General features: G+C 42.1%; 1 long non-coding RNA gene across 1 annotated transcript in view, besides 2 other annotated features; it reads right to left on the bottom strand.

The window, feature by feature from the left end:
* Positions 1-8708: 8708 nt before the first annotated feature.
* LOC105378145 (uncharacterized) overlaps positions 8709-23451 on the bottom strand; it is a 59736-nt gene continuing 44993 nt past the window's right edge. The window contains exon 4 of the long non-coding RNA XR_943300.3: positions 8709-9238. This is a non-coding gene — a long non-coding RNA (uncharacterized LOC105378145). The remainder of the gene's footprint in view (positions 9239-23451) is intronic.
* Positions 13579-14194: an enhancer, noted in NCBI's record as "H3K27ac-H3K4me1 hESC enhancer chr6:169418721-169419336 (GRCh37/hg19 assembly coordinates)". NCBI's record gives its function as "activates a minimal SCP1, AML or CMV promoter by ChIP-STARR-seq in primed H9 embryonic stem cells {active_cell/tissue: H9 hESC(primed)}" and the evidence as "EXISTENCE:reporter gene assay evidence [ECO:0000049][PMID:30033119]".
* Positions 14195-14811: an enhancer, noted in NCBI's record as "H3K27ac-H3K4me1 hESC enhancer chr6:169418104-169418720 (GRCh37/hg19 assembly coordinates)". NCBI's record gives its function as "activates a minimal SCP1, AML or CMV promoter by ChIP-STARR-seq in primed H9 embryonic stem cells {active_cell/tissue: H9 hESC(primed)}" and the evidence as "EXISTENCE:reporter gene assay evidence [ECO:0000049][PMID:30033119]".

The following is a 23451-nucleotide window of genomic DNA, read 5'->3' as shown; positions in this document are numbered from 1 at the left end:
CCTGAGGAATCGCCACACTGACTTCCACAATGGTTGAACTAGTTTACCGTCTCACCAACAGTGCAAAAGTGTTCCTATTTCTCCACATCCTCTCCAGCACCTGTTGTTTCCTGACTTTTTAATGATTGCCATTCTAATTGGTGTGAGATGGCCACACATCTCATTGTGGTTTTGATTTGCATTTCTCTGATGGCCAGTGATGATGAGCATTTTTTCATGTGTTTTTTGGCTGCATAAATGTCTTCTTTTGAGAAGTGTCTGTTCATGTCCTTCGCCGACTTTTTGATGGGGTTGTTTTTTTTTTTCTTGTAAATTTGTTTGAGTTCATTGTAGATTCTGGATATTAGCCCTTTGTCAGATGAGTAGGTTGTGAAAATTTTCTCCCATTTTGTGGGTTGCCTGTTCACTCTGATGGTAGTTTCCAATAGATGCAGAAAAAGCCTTTGACAAAATTCAACAACCCTTCATGCTAAAAATTCTCAATAAATTAGGTGTTGATGGGACGTATCTCAAAATAATAAGAGCTATCTATGACAAACCCACAGCCAATATCATACTGAATGGGCAAAAACCGGAAGCATTCCCTTTGAAAACTGGCACAAGATAGGGATGCCCTCTCTCACCACTCCTATTCAACATAGCGTTGGAAGTTCTGGCCAGGGCAATTAGGCAAGAGAAGGAAATAAAGGGTATTCAATTAGGAAAAGAGGAAGTCAAATTGTCCCTGTTTGCAGATGACATGATTGTATATCTAGAAAACCCCACTGTCTCAGCCCAAAATCTCCTTAAGCTGATAAGCAACTTCAGCAAAGTCTCAGGATACAAAATCAATGTACAAAAATCACAAGCATTCTTATACACCAACAACAGACAAACAGAGAGCCAAATCATGAGTGAACTCCCATTCACAATTGCTTCAAAGAGAATAACATACCTAGGAATCCAACTTACAAGGGATGCGAAGGACCTCTTCAAGGAGAACTATAAACCACTGCTCAAGGAAATAAAAGAGGATACAAACAAATGGAAGAACATTCCATGCTCATGGGTAGGAAGAATCAATATCGTGAAAATGGCCATACTGCCCAAGGTAATTTACAGATTCAGTGCCATCCCCATCAAGCTACCAATGCCTTTCTTCACAGAATTGGGAAGATGACAATTCTAATCGCCCCAGACTGGGGAACTCAATATTTACCTAAGTGTTTTTCAATCAGCTCTGGCTCTGTTGCAGGGAGCGGTGATGCTGAGGAAGTCAGAGGCAGGGGAGATAAGTGTCGGTGGAAAGGAGCATTTTGAGCAGGACTGTGCTTCTGGGTGCTGCACAGTGTGCTAGGTCTGAACTCATGATCCATGAGACAAAACGGGGAGGGCAACATGAATTCGCTCAGGCATACTTCCCTTCAGCCACAGGGCAGGAGGGTGAAGAAACCCAGGGAGGTGCACAAAGTCACTCCTGCACATGCAGACACAGGGAACAGCACCAAAGCAGAAACCACTTCTTGCCGACAGAAGAGGCATTTTCCCCTGCATGGCAGCTTATTCTTTACACAGGCACAGAACTTATTTAGACATCTGCCACATTTGGACTTCAAACTCAGCTATTTTACCAGAGATGTTTAAATTAGGAAAAGCCATGATCTATTCGAGCTTGGGACAAAAATAGCATTTGCTGTATTTGCAGATTTCTCCAGCCAATTTAATGATTGTCTTTGCAGTCAGGTGTATGTCCCAGGACTTTTTCTGCCTTCCTTTCTGCTTGAAAGCTAGTTTCCAGGCAAAATTTTCCTCTTTTGAAAAGCTATAATTACGTCAAGAAACCCTGGGTAAGTTATGCTCATTTACTTTTATTGTGGCAGTTGAAGGTTTGAGGTGCACGATTGCTAATAAAATATCAAGGCGTCACATTTCAACTGCACTTTTTCCAAGAGTAAGTCTGGCGCTTTTCGAAGCTGCAAGAGTGAGTGCACAGAGCACCGATGCTGGGCACCAAGCGTTCACTGGCTCGGGTGGATAATATTTATTAAAGAAACTGGGGCCCATGGTGTGCCATAGCTTGAGGAAGATCAGCATTCTGGAGAGTGAGGAAAACAGGGACATCTAATTTTAAAAAGGATTAAAATCATTTGTGAGGTGGCTCAGGCAGCCAGTCCTGAAGGGGCAGACCCCTGATGTGGGGGACCCCAGAGAGGCCAGATGATTCTTTTCAGGGTGCACCCCTAGGCATCCTGGCATGGGACAGCATCCGAGCGGAAGGCGGGGAGCCCCAGTGGGAGGTGGCAGACAAGCAAAGCTTCTGCGGACCTCAGGGTGCTGTGGACACAAATGTTATTCGTGTGGAAAGCCAGGATTAGGAACCAGATAACTCAGGAGGGTTAAAACAGGAGGTCCTGCTCTCTTCTCCGTCGAAGTGCTCATGAATCCACAGCTGGTACAGACTAAGAGGCTCAGAAGTTCAGCAAAAAAGATGATATAAATCCAACTTGAACTTTTAAAAGTTTTTCTTAAGAAGTAAGATTTAATGAATAATGAGAAGACAAACATTATAGTCTAAAAATCGTTTAGAACAGTAAATACTCTTATAAACCCTCAGGGTCTGATCTGGGACCCCAAGAGTTACTTCAGGGGATCAGACTCAAGAGAGGCCGACTGCCTCCATTGGCTGCTCTGAGGCTTTGCAGACGTGGTCTTCCCCAGTGCTGCCTGGCCATGTACGAGAGGACCAGCCCCCTCCGAGGGAACCTTCCAGAGTCAGTGAAGCTTATCACATAACATGTCAAACATTGTTATATGAAAAATTACCAGCCCTAATGAGATCTGGGACAACAGCAAAAACTAGAGCCCAGAAACAGAGGGACAGAGGCCTGGCTATCAGCTGCAGCAGACAGACTGAAAAGCAACTGACTCATATATTCACTAAAATAGAAGACAAGATGGGGCATTTTTTTTGCAGAAACAGAACCTATGTTAAAATGTCAAATGGATATTAGAAAGCCAACACTGACCTTAATTAATAAATAGATTAACAGATTGGATAGCAGAGGAGAGGCAAAGGCAGAGAGAGCAACAAGGCTGGAAAATGACAGAAAAGAGCACGAGATACTGGCACATGACATAAAGACCACATAGATGAGAGGGGTGCATTGCTCAAAGAGATGATGGCGGAGAATTTCCCCCAGATAAAAACAAATAATAATCAAAGGCAAAGACTCAAGAACTGTTAGAAATCTCAGCAGGATAAATGCAAATAGAGCCAGGCATAGGCATGCCCCAGTCAGAAGCTAAAACCCAAAGACAAGGAGAAGCTTGGAACGTAGCCAGAGGGGAGGTCGCGGCACCCTCAGAGGAGATGCTGGAAAACTGACGGCCAAATACTCAGAAATGTCGGCAGCTGAAAACAGTAAAGTTGATGCAAAAAAAAATGTCCACCAACCTAGCAGTGTATTAGCTCTTTTATAAATAAAAATGCAATGCTTTAAAAACAGATTATTTTCTATTCACATCAAGCAATGTGTTAAACGGATAGAGCACAGCCATCAAGCGAGATGTTCATATAAGGACTTCTACACGCCTGTATAAGGGGCAGGAAGAATGAGTTCACTCACATTACTGAGCGAAACAAGGCAGTCAAAATACAGAGGTTATGGTCCACTTATGTGATATAAAGAACAGGCAATACAAGTCTGCAGTTTTGGAATTCAAGCTAATGCTTACTTTGGGGAGCTATTGAAGGGGAGCTACCTTAAGGGCGCCAGTGGGAGTGCCAAGAGTGTTCTCTGTCTCGATTTGGGTAAATATACATAAGTATATTTACATAATTAAATATACATAAGTATATTTACATGCAAAAATCATAAAGGCATAGACGAGTATGTTTAACATAAAAACTCATAAAGTTGTAGACTTAAGAGGTTTGCCCTTAATTTTCAATGTCAGGTTTAAAACTTCAAAAAGGTATGAAAAACCTAACTATTTAGAATTTAAAAAAAAATCTCAAAAATAATTTCAGCTCACTAAAACAAATTTAAGTGAAAACTATTAAAAATCAAATTCAACAATGAAGATGTCATAGGTCAAAAACTGTTGAATTTAGTCAAATTTTCCTCCAAAAACATTCACAGCCTCAAATGTTACTCTTGTTAAGTAAGATTGACTAATAATTATTGCATAATGGAAGAAAGGCAAAAGAACTGAAGAAGAAGAAACCGCCTCCTGTTAGTGTCATACAGCGTGTTCTCATGAGCCCTGTGTCCTGTGTGAACTGGCTTGGCTAGATTCAGGCTAAAGTCCCAGGTGACACTTTGCACTTGCAGCTGCACCTCCCAGGAGGCTCAGAACATCATGTTCAACTGCTCCTGATACTCACCGTTGAGCATTTGGTTAAGGCACTGGCCATCACATCTTTCCAGTGACATGGTCCTTTTTCTCCCTTGTGCAATTAGCAAATAATCTGTGGGTTAATACCTAAACTCATGTGAGTATTTATTTTTTATTAACTTTGACTTAATAATTTTAGCATCCATTGGTGAACCTTATCTAATCAATTATCTCTTTAGGGATTGCAAAGTTATGATTTTCTAATTCTTCATTTTTCCATATTTTATTAGCTGTTATTCTATAAAGAAGAAACTTCCTTTTACCAACTTGGAAAGTACTAGAGTCTCTCTTTTAAAGGCAAGAGAAAAATGTAAATCTTCCCTTTGAGCTACCCAGTTGCCCAATGAAGAGTTATAGTCACTATAACAGTAGCAAAATCAGAAGTCATTTCTTTTTTGTTTTGTTCTTGAATTTAATAATGGAGTCTTTTTAAAAAAAATCAGTATGTAGCAATTAATTATAATAATTTGCATGCTTATGTCATAATTATTCTTGCCAGTAGGAGCCTTGTCTGTGAACGTTCAGTCGTCCCTATTAGTTTTAATGTTTTCCTTTTCGTTTTTTGTGTCTTCCTCCTTTCTATGCACTAGAAATAGGATTAGCCACATATTAAAATAGCTCTAGATTTTTTGTAGAAAACGGTGTTTAAAAATCCAAAATCTATTTTCTCAATTTTCTCTCCCCGCCTTCTCTTCCTCCTTCTGTTTTATTACTTCTATTAATTACTTTTCACTTATTTCCACCTGTATTTTAATCTAAGATATACCATAAAATGCATTCCATGCACACCATAAGTGTTTTTACTTCCCTTTCTCTGTGCTTTCTGGGTTTCGGTGCTTCTCTCCTAGCAGGTGGGTGAGGCAGCTGTACCTTGAAGCAGCCCTAAGCAGTCACATGCTCTAAGCACCTGTGGTTTCCTAAGATTTGATACCTGCAAGAAACTTGGGTGAATTATAAATTGACCTGGTGCGGTGGCTCATGCCTGTAATCCCAGCACTTTGGGAGGCCAAGGCAGGCGGATCACTTGAGGTCAGGAGTTTGAGACCAGCCTGGCCAACATGGTGAAAACCCGTCTCTACTGAAAATACAAAAATTAGCTGGGAGTGGTGGTGCACACCTGTAATCCCAGCTACTCAGGAGGCTGGGCCAGAAGAATCGCTTGAACCTGGGAGGCAGAGGTTGCAGTGAGCTGAGATCGCTCCACTGCACTCCAGTCTGGGTGACAGAGTGAAAGTCCATCTCAAAACAAAACAAAACAAAACAAAACAAAACTTGACTCACTTTTGTTACTGGAGATTTCTGTTCTCTTACATTGTATAGTGCTTTTGAAAAGACCAATACTGACTTTATTTTTTATTTAAGAGATTTCACCATTTTTCTGGAGGTTGAAGACATTTTTCCCCTGTTTTTAAAGTTAAACACTCTTCTGGATCAATTTTTTAAATTATGCAAAGGGCTCCGTGAGTATATAAAATTATGTATCATATTTGTTTTGTTCCATTGCTTAGTTTTTCTTCTTCAGGGCCACATAATTTAGTATTTAATATCCACCCATTTTTCTTCTTTATTTTTGACTCAACTTTGGACTGTTTTTACCATCTGGGATCCTTACAATAGTTTCAGTTTTATCCATTTTCTCTTAGATACCTAGAAATTAAGTATTTATCCTAAGATTTTTGTCTCTCTTAATGGTGTCTTTCAGGACTTAAATTACTTTCCGTGTCACATCTTTCTACAATTTGCCCATGTCTAGTCAGAGTTTTTTAAATTTTTATTCAGTATGACATTTAACTTTGAAATTTCTTATCCAATTATATTGAATTCATGAAGAAGAAACAATCTTCTCAAACACTTAGATACTCATTTTCTGTTTTCATTTTTGAAAGTTCCTTTGTATGTTGAGTTCCTTTGTTTATTTGCCACAACAGTCACTAAATTGGGTAATTTGAAAGGGTTTGGATGGCTTGCTTGCTTTCGTAGTTCAAATGCTTCTGTTGCTATAGTGAAGGGCTGTTCTTAAAAATAAATCATTCTCTTTCTGTCCCCGCTTCGGTTGTGTGAGTTCATTGATTTCATTATCTTTAGTGTTTCTCGCTTGTTTTCACCACCCAGACTCCAAGTGGGAGGCTCCCTTTTCAAAGCTGCCTTCCTTGACCTTGGAAGTGATGCCTCTGCAAGACCAGCACTGTAAAGTCCTACAAATCGTCCTCCTGCTTCCATTGTTTTTTCCCAGCAGGCAGTGACCTGAGGCTTCCCTATGGCTTAGAACAGCTTCCAGAATTTTCCTCCCAAAGTGGGAGACTCTCTATCAGAGGCAAAGCCTAATCAATGTCTTCTGCTTTCACTTTCACTGGGATCATTAGGTGAACATTTGAAAATGAAGTAGGGGTTGGATAGTTTTAAGTCTTTTAAAAATTGTACTGAGTTCAGTAATGACTTCGTGGCTCCCTGAGAATAGGCCTTTATCTTTTAGAGCCATGCAGGGAGAATTTAGGGAAAAGACCCATGATTTATTGGTGTTACCATAAAATACTATAGTCAATATTTAAATAAAATAAACATAAGTGAAGGGAAGAAATAAACACCATAGAAACATACCCCAATAAGCAAGAGAGAAACCCCTCTTATACACCACGTAAACTAGCTCAGTGTATATATGGATACAGATAGAGATAGAGATTTTTTTTTCAGAAAGTAATGATTAAAGCTCCCATCAGACATCCCTGATATTTCGAAGGTCTCAGCACACGTAGAAAGTGGCATTTGTTGGTGGCTCTGGGTGACAGGACACGTTCTCCACCCACCCCAGTGAGTCCCCGGGCTCTGCACAGCTCCCCGCTGGTGGCTGAGGAGTCAGTGCCAGGAGATGGGGGCAGCGAGAGTTCTCGAAACCAGAATCATCTACTGAGCCCCCATTCATTTCACTAAGATAACGAAAACCTACTCTTTCCTGTCCTTGACCGCCATTTCCTTCATATTTAGGAACCTGGATGGGCGAGGTCCCTGGTCTTTGGGGCGCGGGGCCTGCAGGGACAGGGTCGCTGCGGGCAGAGCAGAGGGGGTGGTGGGTCCTGCCTGGGGGGCGGGGGCAGCACCGAGAACTGGCAGCACCGAGAACCGTCAGCACGGAAAACCGGCAGCACCGAGAACCGGCGGCACCGAGAACCGGCGGCACCGAGAACCGGCAGCACCGAGAACCAGCACCGAGAACCGGCAGCACCGAGAACCGGCACCGAGAACCGGCACCGAGAACCGTCAGCACGGAAAACCGGCAGCACCGAGAACCGGCGGCACCGAGAACCGGCAGCACCGAGAACCGGCAGCACCGAGAACCAGCACCGAGAACCGGCAGCACCGAGAACCGGCACCGAGAACCGGCACCAAGAACCGGCGGCACCGAGAACCGGCGGCACCGAGAATCGGCAGCACCGAGAACCGGCAGCACCGAGAACCGGCACCGAGAACCGGCAGCACCGAGAACCGGCACCAAGAACCGGCAGCACCGAGAACCGGCAGCACCGAGAACCGGCACCGAGAACCGGCAGCACCGAGAACCGTCAGCACCGAGAATCGGCAGCACCGAGAACCGGCAGCACCGAGAACCGGCACCAAGAACCGGCAGCACCGAGAACCGGCACTGAGAACCGGCACCGAGAACCGTCGGCACCGAGAACCGTCGGCACCGAGAACCGGCGGCACCGAGAACTGGTGGCACCGAGAACCGGCGGCACCGAGAACCGGCCCCGAGAGCCACCTGCGGGGACCAGGCCCAGGCACACCCCGATGCGGGGCGGCTCTGAGGGCGCCTTGTTTCACCAAAGGCGGTTTTTGGAACCCACGCCGGACCGTGAACAACTCGAGGGCATTCGATACCCACCGGTAGCCTCGGTGTCCTAGAAACCTCCGGGCATCCGAGCGCACCAGGCACGGGCGGCTCATCGCTCCCCGGGGACCCGCCGCCGAGTGGGGGAAGGTGCGGCGGGGGCGCAGATGGACGGAGGCCTCGAAAAACGCTTGCCAGGTGCCCGGGCAGCCCCGAGACGCCGGGTACCCGCTCCCCGGCTGCACTCCAGCCCATCCTGCTCCGCTGCGCGGCCGGGGCACCCCCGCGGCAGCCCCGAGCTGTCCTGGCAGGCGCGTCTCCCACTCCCGCCCGTCCTCACCCACCTCATGGCCACGCTGACTGCTGGACAGGGTCCAGGCCCAGACTCAGCCCATGGCCCCCCTGCTCCTCCGTGCACTGTCCACCCGGCGGCCACCCCTCCCCGGGCACTGAGCTCCCCGCGGCCACCCCGCCCCTCCCCGCTGCCCCTCTGCTTCTGCTGCTGATTTATAGCCAAGTAGATGAATTGCTCCTTTTGGGAAAAATATTTTGTCTCCGAGGGAGCACTTCCCTCCTGTGAAGCCGAGGAAGCTCGGGTGCTGCGGCCGCCCTGGGGCTGCGGGGCGATGTCACTGATGAGAGCTGGGACCCCAGACCCAGCCAACGGAGCTCTGAGCCCCTGCCGGCCCTTTTAATCCCCACAGCTCCTAAAAGACTTTGAAGAATACACACATTTTAAATTAGGCTGAAACCCATGAATTCACCAGTATTCTTTGCCCTGACCTGTGAAAAAATGGTAATGCCATATGGTTCATCTTGACATGACTCAGCTATGGTTGTCCTGGTATTGCTGCTACTCGAAGCCAGAGACTGACCCCTCCCGCCTTCTCAGGCCTCCGTGTGCCGCCGAATGCGGCGCTGGAGACGTGGCCCCAGAGTTCCGCAGCTCTGGATCTGGGATGTAGTCACCGTGTGCTGTGCAGAGCAGCGAACATCACCAGGGCTGTTAAAGGATATGATAGTATCTCCTTCACAACGCTGAGAAAAAACAAAACAAAACAAAATAAAAACCAGAACATTCCTAGCATATTGTCTGAACAGGCTCAAAATAATTCACTTCCATTTTCCCCATTCCTCCCAACTTCCCCCACCAGCCCCTTAACAGTCCCTTCCACGTGGCCTCTGCTGAAAGGACCTGGACACCCGCTGCCTCGGCTTCCCGCGGTGCTTTTTCTCCTGGGTGCCTTTATCCATCTGGACCAGAGACTCATGGAAAATGACATCTAAATGGAAGTCCTGAGCCCAGGCCACGTGAAGTTCAGAAGTGCATGGTCTGGCGACGTGGGTGTTGGAGAGATGGTGAATATTTGGTAGAGATTTGGGCAAGAAACGAAACAACACTGAAAAGCCAGCCACATGTCTAGACCGACTTCCCAGCCACACCAGTGGAGCGCAGGACCCCTCGGATGCTGAGTCCCGCAGGCCTGTCCCAAAGCTCACTCACCACTAACCTTCTATGCCTGAATGAAAATTAAGGTTTTCAGTCAACCCAAAAATGCAAAAATGGAGGCACACTCCAGTGAAGGTAGCACGTGTTCAAAGAAGGATGCTTTGAAAAAAGTTGCATTTTCTGAGCTTTTTCTTTCACCAGCCCTAGGTACATGATTGTTTTTGAAACCTTTTTTTCAGTAAGCCTTGGATGTCTTTTTTACCTCTGGCATTGTAAAAATTTATTCAAGCTAAAGATTCACGTATTATTGAAAGCAGGAGTTGCGGGCTGCTACATGTGTGCCTAATAAGAACGAGTTTTCATCATGCTATTTAAAGACCAAGTTATACAATATTTTGGATAAAGTGACTCCACCTACTCGTTGGCTACTTTTTCTTCCTGGTGTGGATAAAATCAACATCCAAACGTTAGTGCTAATTCTTCCTGACACTGATACAAAACACACTAGAGGGGACGCAGACGATGGATTTAGGATGCTTGGCCACATTCTGACTTCTCCGTATCACGCCATCTTTGGATTCCCACAGATGTCTGCACAAGCCTGGGGTCCCCACAGCGTGGAGACGTCTAAATCATCAAATAAAAATTGGAAAGTATGGTGAGTGAGGAAGCATTGAAAGTAGAATGAAATATTGTACCCTGAAGATAAATTCTATTTGTAAAAATAAAAATGGTAGCTAAGCAGTCAGCCAATAAATCGTGAGGAAACATATAACCAGCACAGTGGGACGTCGGTCGCGTGGATGGTGCAGTTTTACTCGCCAGGAGATGAGGGGCTTCTGAGAGACCCGGCCTCAACTAGAGAGAGGCTCCTGCTTCCTCACTCGCCACCTGAACGTAGGGCCACACTGCCCCCTGCCCACTGGAACGGCTGGTGTCTGTTGCTTCAGTGTTCACAGGACCCTGTCCTCTCTACCAAGTGACAACCGAGTCCCAAATGGCATCATGCATCAGGTTTTTGTTTTATCGTTATCCTTGTTTTTGGCAAAAGTAAAGAAATGATAATAAAGCTGTTGTCCTCACTGAAATTTGTAAAGAGATAGACCTATATATGTATAGATATTTTACATTTGATATTGGTATGTGACATTGTTGAGTTCCAACATAACAAATATGCAAGTAATTGAGTAGGGGTGAGGGTGGAAAATATATGCGGATGTCTTCTTGGATTTTATTTTAATTCCCTTGGCTCAGATGTAAGCAGCTTTTCATTTAAATGGCTATCATTTCATATTTTCCCTGCTATATCTGTTATCTAAGCATCATCAGTATAGACCATAAAAAGTGATAACATGTTATTCATGATTAGAAGCAAGCGCTCTTCCAATATATTTTCTCCACATTTTGACTTAGGCAACTATATAGAAATATGTAAACCTTCCATTGCCATTGAAAAATGTGTTAAATGATGCTTTGGGATCTTACATAGATTTTTCCAGCAAAACGTGAGCCGTAAACAAGCTCTTGCTCTGTGGCTGCTGGTGCACTTCAGAATGCTGAAATGATTCTGCACTGTTCCCTGCCTGGGTTTGCTACTTTGCTGCTTTTCCTACTTTTTTTGATGCATATTGTAGTTATCCTTGTTTTGCTTTTTGTTTCCACTTACAAAGAAAAGAAAAAACACAAGAGAAATAATAATCTCTAAACTTATATGAACTATAGAGCTTTGCAGTGGTTTGTATAGTTTTGGGGAGTGGAAGGGGAGCGGTCTTCACTGCTGACTGACCGTGAAGCCAACAGCTGGCAGCCGACACAAAAGGCAGGCCCCTGCCTCTCTTTCCTTTTCAAGCAAGATTTGTAAAACAGTGGAACAGGGCTTGAATTTAGCCAAGAACGACAAATTCTGTGGTCAGGAACACATTGCAAAATGCAACTTGTTCGAATTTTAAGGTAGAATAGTTTTCTAAGCGTAGGGACCTATGAGAAACAAGGGCGAGAAGTAACCTGGGGAGTGGGGGTGCAGTGAGAAGGGCCAGCATCTGCCTGTCCCAGGAACTCACCCCACCGTGAAGCTGGAATAAGTTCCGTGGAAGACACAGCATTTGCCCCTTTGTACCCTCCAGGAAGGCAGATGTTGCAACAGTGCTCCACCATAGGCAAGTTCCAGAAGGGGCGTTTCCAGAAGGCAGAGCCTGTACAATGGTCGGGACGCATCTGCCACCATGCCTTGCCATCACATGCCAGGCACTGAGGATACTAGAGTCCCTACTTTCACGCAGCTTATGGTTTAAACTTGTCCTGCAAGGTGCAGCCAACACAAGTGTCTCAGAAGAAGGGCATCATCTGATGTGTGTGAGGGGGATACAAAAACTGATAATAGTTAAGTTGCGGTTTCTGCTGTATTCAACCAGAAATTTCTACAAAAAGAATTTAACTGGCAGTCCTAAATTATTGAAAATTATAGGACTCAGGCAAGTATTTCATACTTTTCCTTACTCTACATTAAAGACATTTCAGTAATTCACTTCCTCATTAGCCATTTATTAGGTACTATCTCTGGAACAGCAAAGATGCAAATATGATCAGAACAAAGTACACTCACTGTCTTATGGGAACGCACACCCAGACAGATACACACCAGAAAACACGTGTTGACACTTTCATATACAAGCTAGGATTTTTGATAACACCTAGATCATTTTGGGCCCTAATAGCTGCAAGCAACTGGGGAAGACAACAACAACAGCAAAAAGCACCTCAAAATTGGTGTAGGGAAGAACGGAATAACTTCATTGGCTGCTGCCCATCTACAAGCCCACGTGGCACGTTGGTAGCTGCAGGTGGATACAGTCCCCTGACTCACTAGGATCCAGTGTCTCCAGGCTTTGCCTCTGGTTCAGTCAGTGCTGACCCCTTGTGTTGCACTTTGCCTATTGGCAGCTACACCCTGGATCCTCCCAGATTCAAGTCCAGGGGCAAAAAGCAAATACTTCTCTCTCCTAACAGCTTCATGGGACGTCCCCAGGTGATTCGGACAGGGTCATACTCATCTCTTATGAGCTAAGTGCCTTGGTCCGTTGGCTGCTGCTATAACAGAATACAGACAGAGTAGTTTATTATAAAGTATAGAAGGTTATTTGGCTCACAATTCTGGAGGCAGGAAAGTTCAAGAGCATGGTGCCAGAATCTGACTAGGGCCTTCAGGCTGTGTCATCTCATGGCAGAAGACAGGAGGGCAAGAGAGGACAAGAGTGAGAGAGGGCAAGAGGAGGCCAAACTCTCTGTTATAACACTACTGCACTAACAATATTAATCCTTTCCCGAGGGCAGAGCCCTCACGACGTCAACATCTCTTATTAGCTCACACTTCTCAACACTGTTGCATTGAGGATTAAGTTCCCAGCACATGAATTTTGGGTAGCACATTCAAACTGTAGCACTAAGCTTGAGTTAAACTCCAAACACATAAACTAGAGATGGGGCTCACAGATTCCCCAAAAATAAAAAGAAAACATGTTGAAGATTTAGCAGAAATCACTGCAAAAAGGTCCAGGGGCAAAACTCAACATAGCTCCATTTAAAAAATACTAAAGCTTTAATTTTTTTCAGTGACTTCTAATATAGTAGAATGGAATCTAGGTCTTTGGGTAATACAGCCCAATGGGATTCTTAACAAATGCTTGAAGATTAAGCTGGTGATGACAAAAATCTGCTGCCACTGATGGTTGCGTTGAAGCAGCAGAATTCTTCTCTGGGGCCACTCAGGTCCAAGGCTCATCAGGAAAGCAAGCAGAGCTCCGTGTCCCCTATGACCAATCCACCAGGCATTTTAATTTTAAAAGTATTTTCAGATTAAAGTAAATATTAAAAGTGTGTCTTTGGGAGATTATAGAAGACTAAAACAATATTACTAATTACCTAGAACTAATTTATGTTTATAGAATATTTCAGTCAACAACTGAAGGGTAGATACTGTTTTCAAATACACAGAATACATTTATCAAGAAAGACTGGGGATGGGGCCCAGGTGGCGAACTAGAAGCAGCTCATGTGCTGTCACAGGAAACAAAAGGGCTGGTAAACACTGACCCTGCAAGCTGATCATCTGAGAAACCACAATGGGATCCATCAAGGAAGCAGGGGACACAGATAGCAGAGAGGAGTGAAGCTGGATACCAGCCTGTCTGGGCTCACTGTGGAGCCAGGAGAACCTCTCTAATGCAAGAAAGGGTGAGAGAGTGAGAGCCCCTGGGGGATTCATGCTCTCCACAAGGACCTGTGCAAGACTGGGAACAGGAGAATTCCCCTGGCCCCCGTGTACCCCCCTCCATGCTTCTACACTGAGGCAGAGAGCCACCTGGACATTTTGCAGGGGCAATTCTCGAGTCTACAAGCCTTGGGCCCCAAAGCAGGCCAGTACCGGTGCCATGGCCCCAGTAGCGGCTGCAGTGACAGTGGTTGGGAGCAGAGGGATTTCTCCATGTCCCCTTGCCAGACAGGGCTCAGCACCAGCTTCAAGCCCAGCAATCCCACTTGGGCCCTAAGTCAGCTGGCCGTTCCACCCACCCCTGCCACTGGTAGCCCAGCAGGCAACACTTGCTAGAGCTTCCAGCCCAGTGGCCCCTCTTTTGTGAGAACTCAGCTGGAGGAAACAGCCTCCTGTTGTCCCAGGAATCACCCAGATGGCAGGAAGTGCAACCCCCCCAACCTGCCCCCACCATTTTAGCCAGGTGTGCAATGCCTGCTAGAGCTTCTGACCCCATGATCCTGCTTCTGTGGGAACTCAGCTGGTGGACACAGCTTCCTGTTGTCTGAGGAAGCATCTGGATGGCAGGGCAGGCTTCCTCACTCATGCTTGCTGCTAATAGCCAGGCAGGCAATGCCTGCTAGAGCTTCTGGACCAGTGGTCCCACTTCTGTCTGAATTTTCCAAGGGACACAGCCTCCTATTGCCCTGGAAACATTCAGATGGCAGTGCAGGCAACTCCATTCATCCATACCTCCCATAGCCAGATGGGTGACACCTGCTACAGCTTCCAACACAGTGATTTGGCTTCCACCTGAAGTCTGTGGGCAGGTGCAATCCTGTGCTTCCCCAGGAAGCACATGAACAGTAGATTAGGGTTGACCTGGCAGGGATACAGCCTGTCTGCCAACTGCAGCCCCTGCCTGAGGGAGCCCTGGGGACAAGAACACCCAGCAAAAGAGATACAAGCATAGAGATGGTAATCAGAAGAGGCTCCTCCAAGACCCAGGAGTGAACTAGAATCAAAGCCAGTTAACTGAACCCACCTTATACCATAATCAAACTCCCAAGGGCATAAAAGAAGAAAAAAAAAACCACCCAAAGGACAGCAACTTCAAAGATTGAAAGAACATCATCCTACAAAGATAAGAAAGAACCACTGCAAGAACTCTGGCAATTTAACAACCCTGAGAGTCTTCTTACCTTCAAACCACCACACTAATTACCCAGCAATGGTTCTTTACCAGGCTGAAATGGCTGAAATGTCAGAAATATCATTCAGAATGTGGATAAAAATGAAGATCATCAACATATGGGAGAGAGTAAAAACCCAATCCAAGAAATTTAAGGATTATAATAAAACAATACAGGAGCTAATAGACAAAATGGCCACTGTAAGAAAGAACAAAACTGATCTGATAGAGCTGAAAAACACATGACAAGAATTTTATAATGCAATTGCAAATATTAACAGAAGAATCGACCAAGCTGAGGAAAGAATCTCAGACCTTGAAGGCTGGCTCTCCAAAATGACTCATTCAGACAAAAATGAAGACAAAACAATAAATACTCATGAGCGAAACCTCTTAGAATTGTGAGATTATGTAAAGAGCCCAAACCTATGACATGTTGGCATCTCTGAAAGACAGAGAGAGAAACTAAACAGCTTGCAAACATATTTCAGAATATCATCCATGAAAATTTCCCCAACCTCACAAGGGAGGCCAACATTCAAATTCAAGAAATGCAAAGAACCCCTGAAAAATATGACACAAGAAGGCCATCCCCAAGACACACAGTCATCAGAATCTCCAAGGTTGAAATGAAAGAAAAAATGTGGAAAGCAGCTAGAGAGAAGGGTCAGGTCACCTACAGAGGGAACCCCATAAGGCTAATAGTAGACCTGTCAGCAGAAACCATACAAGCCAGAAGAGATTGGGGGCCTAAATTTAGTATTCTTAAAGAAAAGAATTTTCAACCAAGAATTTTATATCCAGCCAGACTAAGCTGAATAAGTGAAGGAGAAATAAGATTCTTTTCAGACAAGAAAATGTTAAGGGAATTAAATGCCACCAGACCTGCCTTACAAGAGGTCCTGAAGGGAGTGCTAAATATGGAAATGAAAGACCATTAAAGGTCACTACAAAACCACACTTAAGTATATAGACCATGGCACTATAAAGCAGCCACACATACAAGTCTGTATAATAATCAGCTAACAACATGATGACAGGATCAAATCTGCATATATCAATACTAACCTTGAATGTGAACCAGCTTAATGCCCAAATCAAAAGACAGAGTAGCAGTTGGATAAAGAAGTAAAACCCTACTATATGCGGTCTTTCAGAGACCTATCTCACATGCAATGACACTCATAGTCTTAAAGCAAAGGGATGGAGAAAAATCTATGAAGCAAACAGAAAACATAAAGAGGCAAGGATTGCTATTCTAATTTCAGACAAAAACAGACTTTAAACCAACAAAAATCAAAAAAGACAAAGAGGAGCATTACATAATGGTAAAGGGCCCAATTCAAAAAGAGGACCTAACTATCCTAAATATATATGCACCCAACACAAGAGCACCCAGCTTTATAAAACAAGTTCTTAGAGACCTACAAAGAGACTTAGATATGCACACAATAATAGTGGGAGACTTCAACACCCCACTGACAGTATTAAACAGATAATCAAGGCAGAAAACTAACAAAGATATTTGGGATCTGAGCTCAACACTTGACCAAATAGACCTGATAGACATCTACAGAACTCTCCACCCAAAAACAACACAATATACCTTTTTCTCATCTGCACATAAAACATATTCTAAAATCAACCATACAACCAGGCATAAAACAATCCTCAGCAAATTAAAAAAAATTAAACTCATACCAACCACACTTTCAGGCCACAGTGCAATAAAAATAAAAATCAATGCAAGAAAATCACTTAAAACTATACAATTACATGGAAATTAAACAACCTGCTCCTGAATGACTTCTGCATAGATAATGAAATTAAGGCAGAAACCAAGGAATTCTTTGAAACTAATGAGAAAAAAGGATACAGCATACCAGAATTTCTGGGACGCAGCCAAAGCAGTGTTAAGAAGAAAGTTTATAGCACTAAACACCCACATCAAAAATTAGAAAGATCTCAAATTAATAACCTGACATCATAAATGCTGGAACTAGAGAAACAGGAGCAAGCCAACTCCAAAGATAGAAGAAGACAAGAAATAAATAAAAGCTGAACTGAAGAAAATAGAGATGCAAAAAAAAAAATACGAAAGATCATTGAATCCAAGTGCTGCTTCTTAGAATTAATAAGATCGACCACTAGCTAAACTAATGAAGAAAAACAGAGAGGAAATGCAAATAAACACAATCAAAAATGACAAAAGGGACATTATCATTGACCCCACAGAAATAGAAAAAAACCTCAGAAACTATTATGAACACCTCTATGCCCACAAGCTGAAAACCTAGAAGAAATGGATAAATTCCATGAAACATGCAACCTCCCACGATTGAACCAAAGAAAAGTTGAATCCCTAAAGAGACTAATAATGAGTTCTAAAATTGAATCAGTAATAAAAAGCCTACCAACCAGAAAAATCCCAGGACCAGGTGGATTCACAGCCAAATTTTACCAGATGTATAAGGAAGAGCTAATACGATTCCAACTCAAATTATTTTTTAAAATCAAGGAGGAGGGACTCCTCCCTAACTCATTCTATGAAGCCAGCATCAGATACCAAAACCTGGCAGAGACACAACCAAAAAAGAAAACTTCAGCCAACATCCTTGATGAACATAGATGCAAAACAAAATACTAGCAAACCAAATACAGCAGCACATCAAAAAGCTAATCCACCACAATCAAGTAGGCTTTATCCTGGGGATGCAAAAGAAAGGCTGCTTCAACATACACAAATCAATACATGTGATTCACCACATACAAAGAACTAAGAACAAAAACCACATTATCATCTCAATGGATGCATAAAAAGCCTTGGGAAAAATTCAACATCCCTTCATGTAAAAAAACCTTCAACAAACTAGGCATTAAAGAAACATGCCTCAAAAAAATAAAAGCCATCTGTATTAGTCCATTCTTACATTGCTAATAAAGTCATACTGAGACAGGGTTATTTATAAAGGAAAGAGGTTTAATTCACTCACAGTTCTGCATGACTGCGGAGGCCTCAGGAGACGTACAATCATAGCAGAAGGGGAAGCAAACACATCCTTCTTCACATGGCAGCAGAAGAGAGAAGTGCCAAGCAAAGGGGGAAAAGCCCCTTATAAAACCATCAGATCTTGTGAGAACTCACTCACTATCATGAGAACAGCGTGGGGGTAACTGCCCACATGATTCAATTACTTCCCACCGGGTCCCTCCCATGACACATGGGGATTATGGGAACTACAATTCAAGATGAGATTTGGGCAGGGACACAGCCAAATCATGTCACCATCTATCAAAAACCCACAGCCAACATCATACTGAATAGGCAAAAGCTGGAGGCATTCCTCTTGAAAATTGAAACAAGACAAGGAAAACCACATCTATTCAACATAGTACTGGAAGTCCTAGCTAGAGCAATCAAGCAAGAGAAAGAAAGAAACAAAAAGCATCCAAATAGGAAGAGGGGAAGTCAAACTGTTCCTGTTTTCAGATGACATGATTTTATACCTAGAAAACCTCGTAATCTCTTCCTAAAAGTTCCTGGATCTGATAACTTGATCAAAGTTTCAGGATAAAAATTCAATGTACAAAAAATCAGTAGCATTCCTGTACACCAACAACATCCAAGCTGAGAGCCAAATCAAGAACACAATCCCATTCAAAATAGACACAAAAATATTAAAATACCTAGAAATATAGCTAAGCAAGGAGGTCAAAGAGCTCTACAAGGGGAACTACAAAACACTACTCAAAGAAATCAGAAAGGACACAAACAAATGGAAAAACATCCCAAGCTCAAGGATAGGGAGAATCAATATCAATAAAATGGGCATACCACCCAAATCAATTTACAGAGTCAATGTTATTCCTATCAAACTTTCAATGGCATTCTTCATGGAATTAGAAAAAAAAACTAGTTTAAAATTTATATGGAACCAAATAGGAACCTGAATAGCCAAGACAATTCTTAGCAAAAAGAACAAAACTGAAGGCTTCACATTACCCAACTTCAAATTATACTACAAGCCTATAGTGATCAAAGCAACAGGGTACTGGTATAAAAACAGACACAGAGACCAATGGAACGGAATAGAGAGCCCAGAAATAATGCTACATACCTACAACCATCTGACCTCTGACAAAATAAACAAAAAGAAGCAATGGGGAAAGAACTCCCTATTCAATAGACAGTGCTGGAATAACTGGCTAACCATATGCAGAAGATTGAAACTGGACCCCTTCCTTACACCATATACAAAAATAAACTCAAGATGGATTAAAGACTTAAAGATGGAACCTAAAACTATAAAAACCCTGGAAGATAACCTATGAAATACCATTCTGGACATAGGACTTGCAAAGAGTTTACGATGAAGATGCCAAAGGCAATTGCAACAAAAACAAAAATTGACAAATGGGATCTAATTAAAGAACTTCCATACAGCAAAATAAACTATAAATAGAGTAAACAGACAACCTATAGAATGGGAGAAAATATTTGTAAGCTGTGTATCTGACAAAAGTCTAATATTCAAAATCACACCAGCCAGAATGACTATTATTAAACTTTTTCATGGGGTTGTTTTTTGCTTGTGAAAAAGTGGTCAAATAACATGAACAGACACTTTTCAAAAGAACATATATATGGGGCCAATAAGTGTACGAAAAAATGCTCAATATCACTAATCATTACCGCAATGCAAATCAAGCCACAGTGAGACTCCATCTCACACCAGCCAGAATGGCTATTATTAAAAAGCCAAAAAATAACAGATCCTGCTGAGGTTGTGGAGAAAAGAGAATACTTATACACTGCTGTTGGAAATGTAAATTAGTTTAGCCATTGTGGAAAGCAGTTTGGGGATTTCTCAAAGAACTTAAAACAGAACTACCATTTCACCTAGCAATCCCATTATTGAGCATATACTCAAAGGAATACAAATCGTTCTACCGCAAAGACACATGCACCCATATGTTCATTGCAGCACTATTCATAATAGCAGACATGGAATCAACCCAAATGCCCATCAATGGTAGACTGGATTTTTAAAAATGTGATACATATACACCATGGAATACTATGCAGCCATGAAAAGAATGAGATCACAGTTTTTGCAGCAACATGGATGAAGCTGGAGGCCATTATTCTAAGCCAATTAATGCAGAAACAGAAAACCAAATATCACATGTTCTCACTCATAAATGGGAACTAAACTTTGAGTACATGCAGACACAAAGAAGGGCTCACAGGCACTGGGGCCTACTTGAGGGTGGAGGCCGAGAGGAATACGAGGATCAAAACACTCCCTGTTGGGTACCATGCTCATTACCTGTCTGACAAAATAGTCTGCACACCAAACCCTTGTGACTAGCAATTTCCCTTATAACAAATCTGCACAGGTACCCCTGAACCTGAAATAAAAGTTTAAAAAAGAAGAATAAAATAAAATAATATATTATACCACCATTTTTTTTAAAAAAAGGAAAGGCCATACATTTTAGCCACAAAACAAATCTCAAAACATGTTGTAAATGCTTAAAATTGTACAGAGTACATTTATTCACCATAATGCTATTAATTAGAAATCAATCACAGAAATATCTGAAAAATCATTAAATATTTGGAAATAATCTTATAAATTTTCAAAGTAACCCATGGGACAAAAATAAATAAATAAATAAACCACAGGGGAAACTAGAACACATCTTAAAAACTAATAAAAATAAAACAAATTCAAACAATTTGCAATATAATTAAACAAATGCTTAGAGGATACTATCATGCTTGAAGTGCTCATGTGGAAGTCAATGATGCAAATGTCTTCAAGAACCTGAAAAGGATGATCAAAGTAAATGAAGTAAATAAAATTAAAGAAAAAAGGAAGACAATACAAATCATTAAAATGAAAATAGACAAAGAAAGAGAAAAAAATCAATAGAACCAAAATTGGTCCTTTGAAAAGATCAATAAAATCTCTAAAACTCCAGCCAGACGGAATAATAGTAAATGAGGGAAGAATCACTCTACTAAGATGGTAAGTGAAAGGTACACTTTCTTAAGATTCTACAGATTTCAGAGAATAATTAAGAAATTTTATGTGAAATTTCACACTAACAAATTTGATGTTAAATAAAATGGATAAATTCCTCAAAAGACACAAATTGCCAGAGCTGTCTTAAGAAAAAATAGAAGACCTAATAAATCTTTTATATATTAGAAAAAAATGGAAACTTTTTAACCAAAAATTCCAGCTTGTAGCCCATGTAATAAGGCAAAAACAAAGGATAAAGGGCATATATGTTGGAAAAGAAGTAGTGAAACTGTCTTTATTCACAAATGGCATGATCATGAACATGGAAAATCCTAAAGAATCTATGAAATAGAGACTAGAACTAACTAGTGTACTCTGCAAGGTTTCTGAGCATCAGATAAAAATGTAAATATCGGCTGCGCGCAGTGGCACATGCCTGTAGTCCCAGCTACTCAGGAGGCTGAGGCAGGAGAAGCGCTTGAACCCAGGAGGGGCAGTTGCAGTGAGCCAAGATGGCGCCACTGCACTCCAGCCTGGGCAACAGAGCTAGACTCCATTTCAAAATAAAAACAAAAAGTAAATATCACTTATTCCTACATACTATCAAAAAATGGAAGTTTATAGTTGAAGTCCCATTTACAACAGCATCAAAATATGACATACTTAAAGTTAAGCCTAAAATATGAACAAGATGTATAAATTGACATCCAAAAATACTGCTGACAGAATTAAATTAACGAAGACCTGAATAAATGGAGAGATAGATGTTGTTCATAAATCAAAAGACTCAATGTTATTATAGTGCCAGCTTTGCCCAATTTGATATTGACAAACTCGAAACAATTTTATTCAACATTCCCAAGAGTCTTTTTTTTTTCAAATCGACAAGCTGATTGTAAAATTACATGGGAATATAAAGGATCTAAAGTGTTAAATGCAACTTTAAAAAATTGTGTCTCACAATCTGATTTCAAAAATTGCATAAAGACACCAAAATGAAGAGAGTGGAATACGGCAAGATAGACATATTGATCAATAGCACACAACAGAGCATTCAGAAGCGGACTTACACGCATATGGCCATTGAGTTTTTGATGAGTTTGGCAATACAAATCAATGTGAGAAATGACAGTGTTTCTAACAAATGATATTGGAACAACTGAATTAAAATGCAAGGAAAAAACACCTGGACACTTACATCACACCAGTGACAAATATTAATTAAAAATACATTGTTGGCTGGGTGCTATGGCTCACGCCTGTAATCCCAGCACTTTGGGAGGCTGAAGTGAGTGGATCACTTGAGGCCAGGAGTTCAAGACAAACCTGGCCAACACAGTGAAACCCAGTCTCTACTAAACATGGAAAAAAATAGCCGGGCATGGTGGCACCTGCCTATAATCCCAGCTACTCGAGAGACTGAGGCACAAGAATCACTTGAACCCAGGAGCAGAGATTGCAGTGAGCTGAGATCATGCCACTGTACTCCAGCCTGGGTGACAGATCAAGGCTGTCTCAAAAAAAAAAAAAATGTATTTTAGACCTAAGCATAAAAGCTAAAACTAAGAACTTTTGAGGGAATTGTGGAAAACAATATTTGAGACTTTGGGGTTATCTCTTAGATAGAAAACAATATAAATGTATCATAGAAGAAAAATTTGATAAATTGGACTTTATCAGAACTAAAAAATTCTGCTCTTGAAAAAACGAAAAGGAAGAAAAGGCAAGCCACATAAATCAATAGCCTGTGTCCAGACATGTAGAGAACACTTGTAATTCAATGAGATAAACAAAGCATGAAAAATGAGGAAAATTTTCAAAAACATACTTTCCAGCAGGACAAACTGTCATAAGCACATGAAAAGATGTTGAACATCTGAAGTCATCAACGAATAAAAGTTGGAGTCATAATGACCAAAATATGCATATTAAAATGGCCTAAATTTAAGCGGCTGCTAACAGTCTTTCAACACTGAATATGATCCTAGGCAGCTGAAAGGCCTACACTTTGCTGTTGGGGATGTGAAATGATACAACCACTTTGAAAAGCAATTGAGCAGGATTTTAGGGTTAAACATGCACTTTCCTTATGACCCAGAAATTCCGCAACTAGGTATTTACAAAAAATAAGTGAGAATGTCTGCTCACAAAAGACGTGAATGTGGATGATCATGGAGGTTTTATTGGTAACGGCCAACAGCTGGAAATGATCCCTATGCCCACCAACTGTGAATGAACGCACAAGATGCTGTGTGGCCATACGATGCAATATGGGGCAGCAATTAAAATTCAGAAATAATTGATATCAACAAAAGGGTGGGTTAGCTCAAA

This window comes from Homo sapiens, chromosome 6, assembly GCF_000001405.40.
Source record: "Homo sapiens chromosome 6, GRCh38.p14 Primary Assembly".
In the NCBI taxonomy this organism is placed as follows: Eukaryota; Metazoa; Chordata; class Mammalia; order Primates; family Hominidae; genus Homo; species Homo sapiens.
Note: the sequence above shows the minus strand (reverse complement) of the source record. Positions and strands in the feature narration are given on the sequence as shown.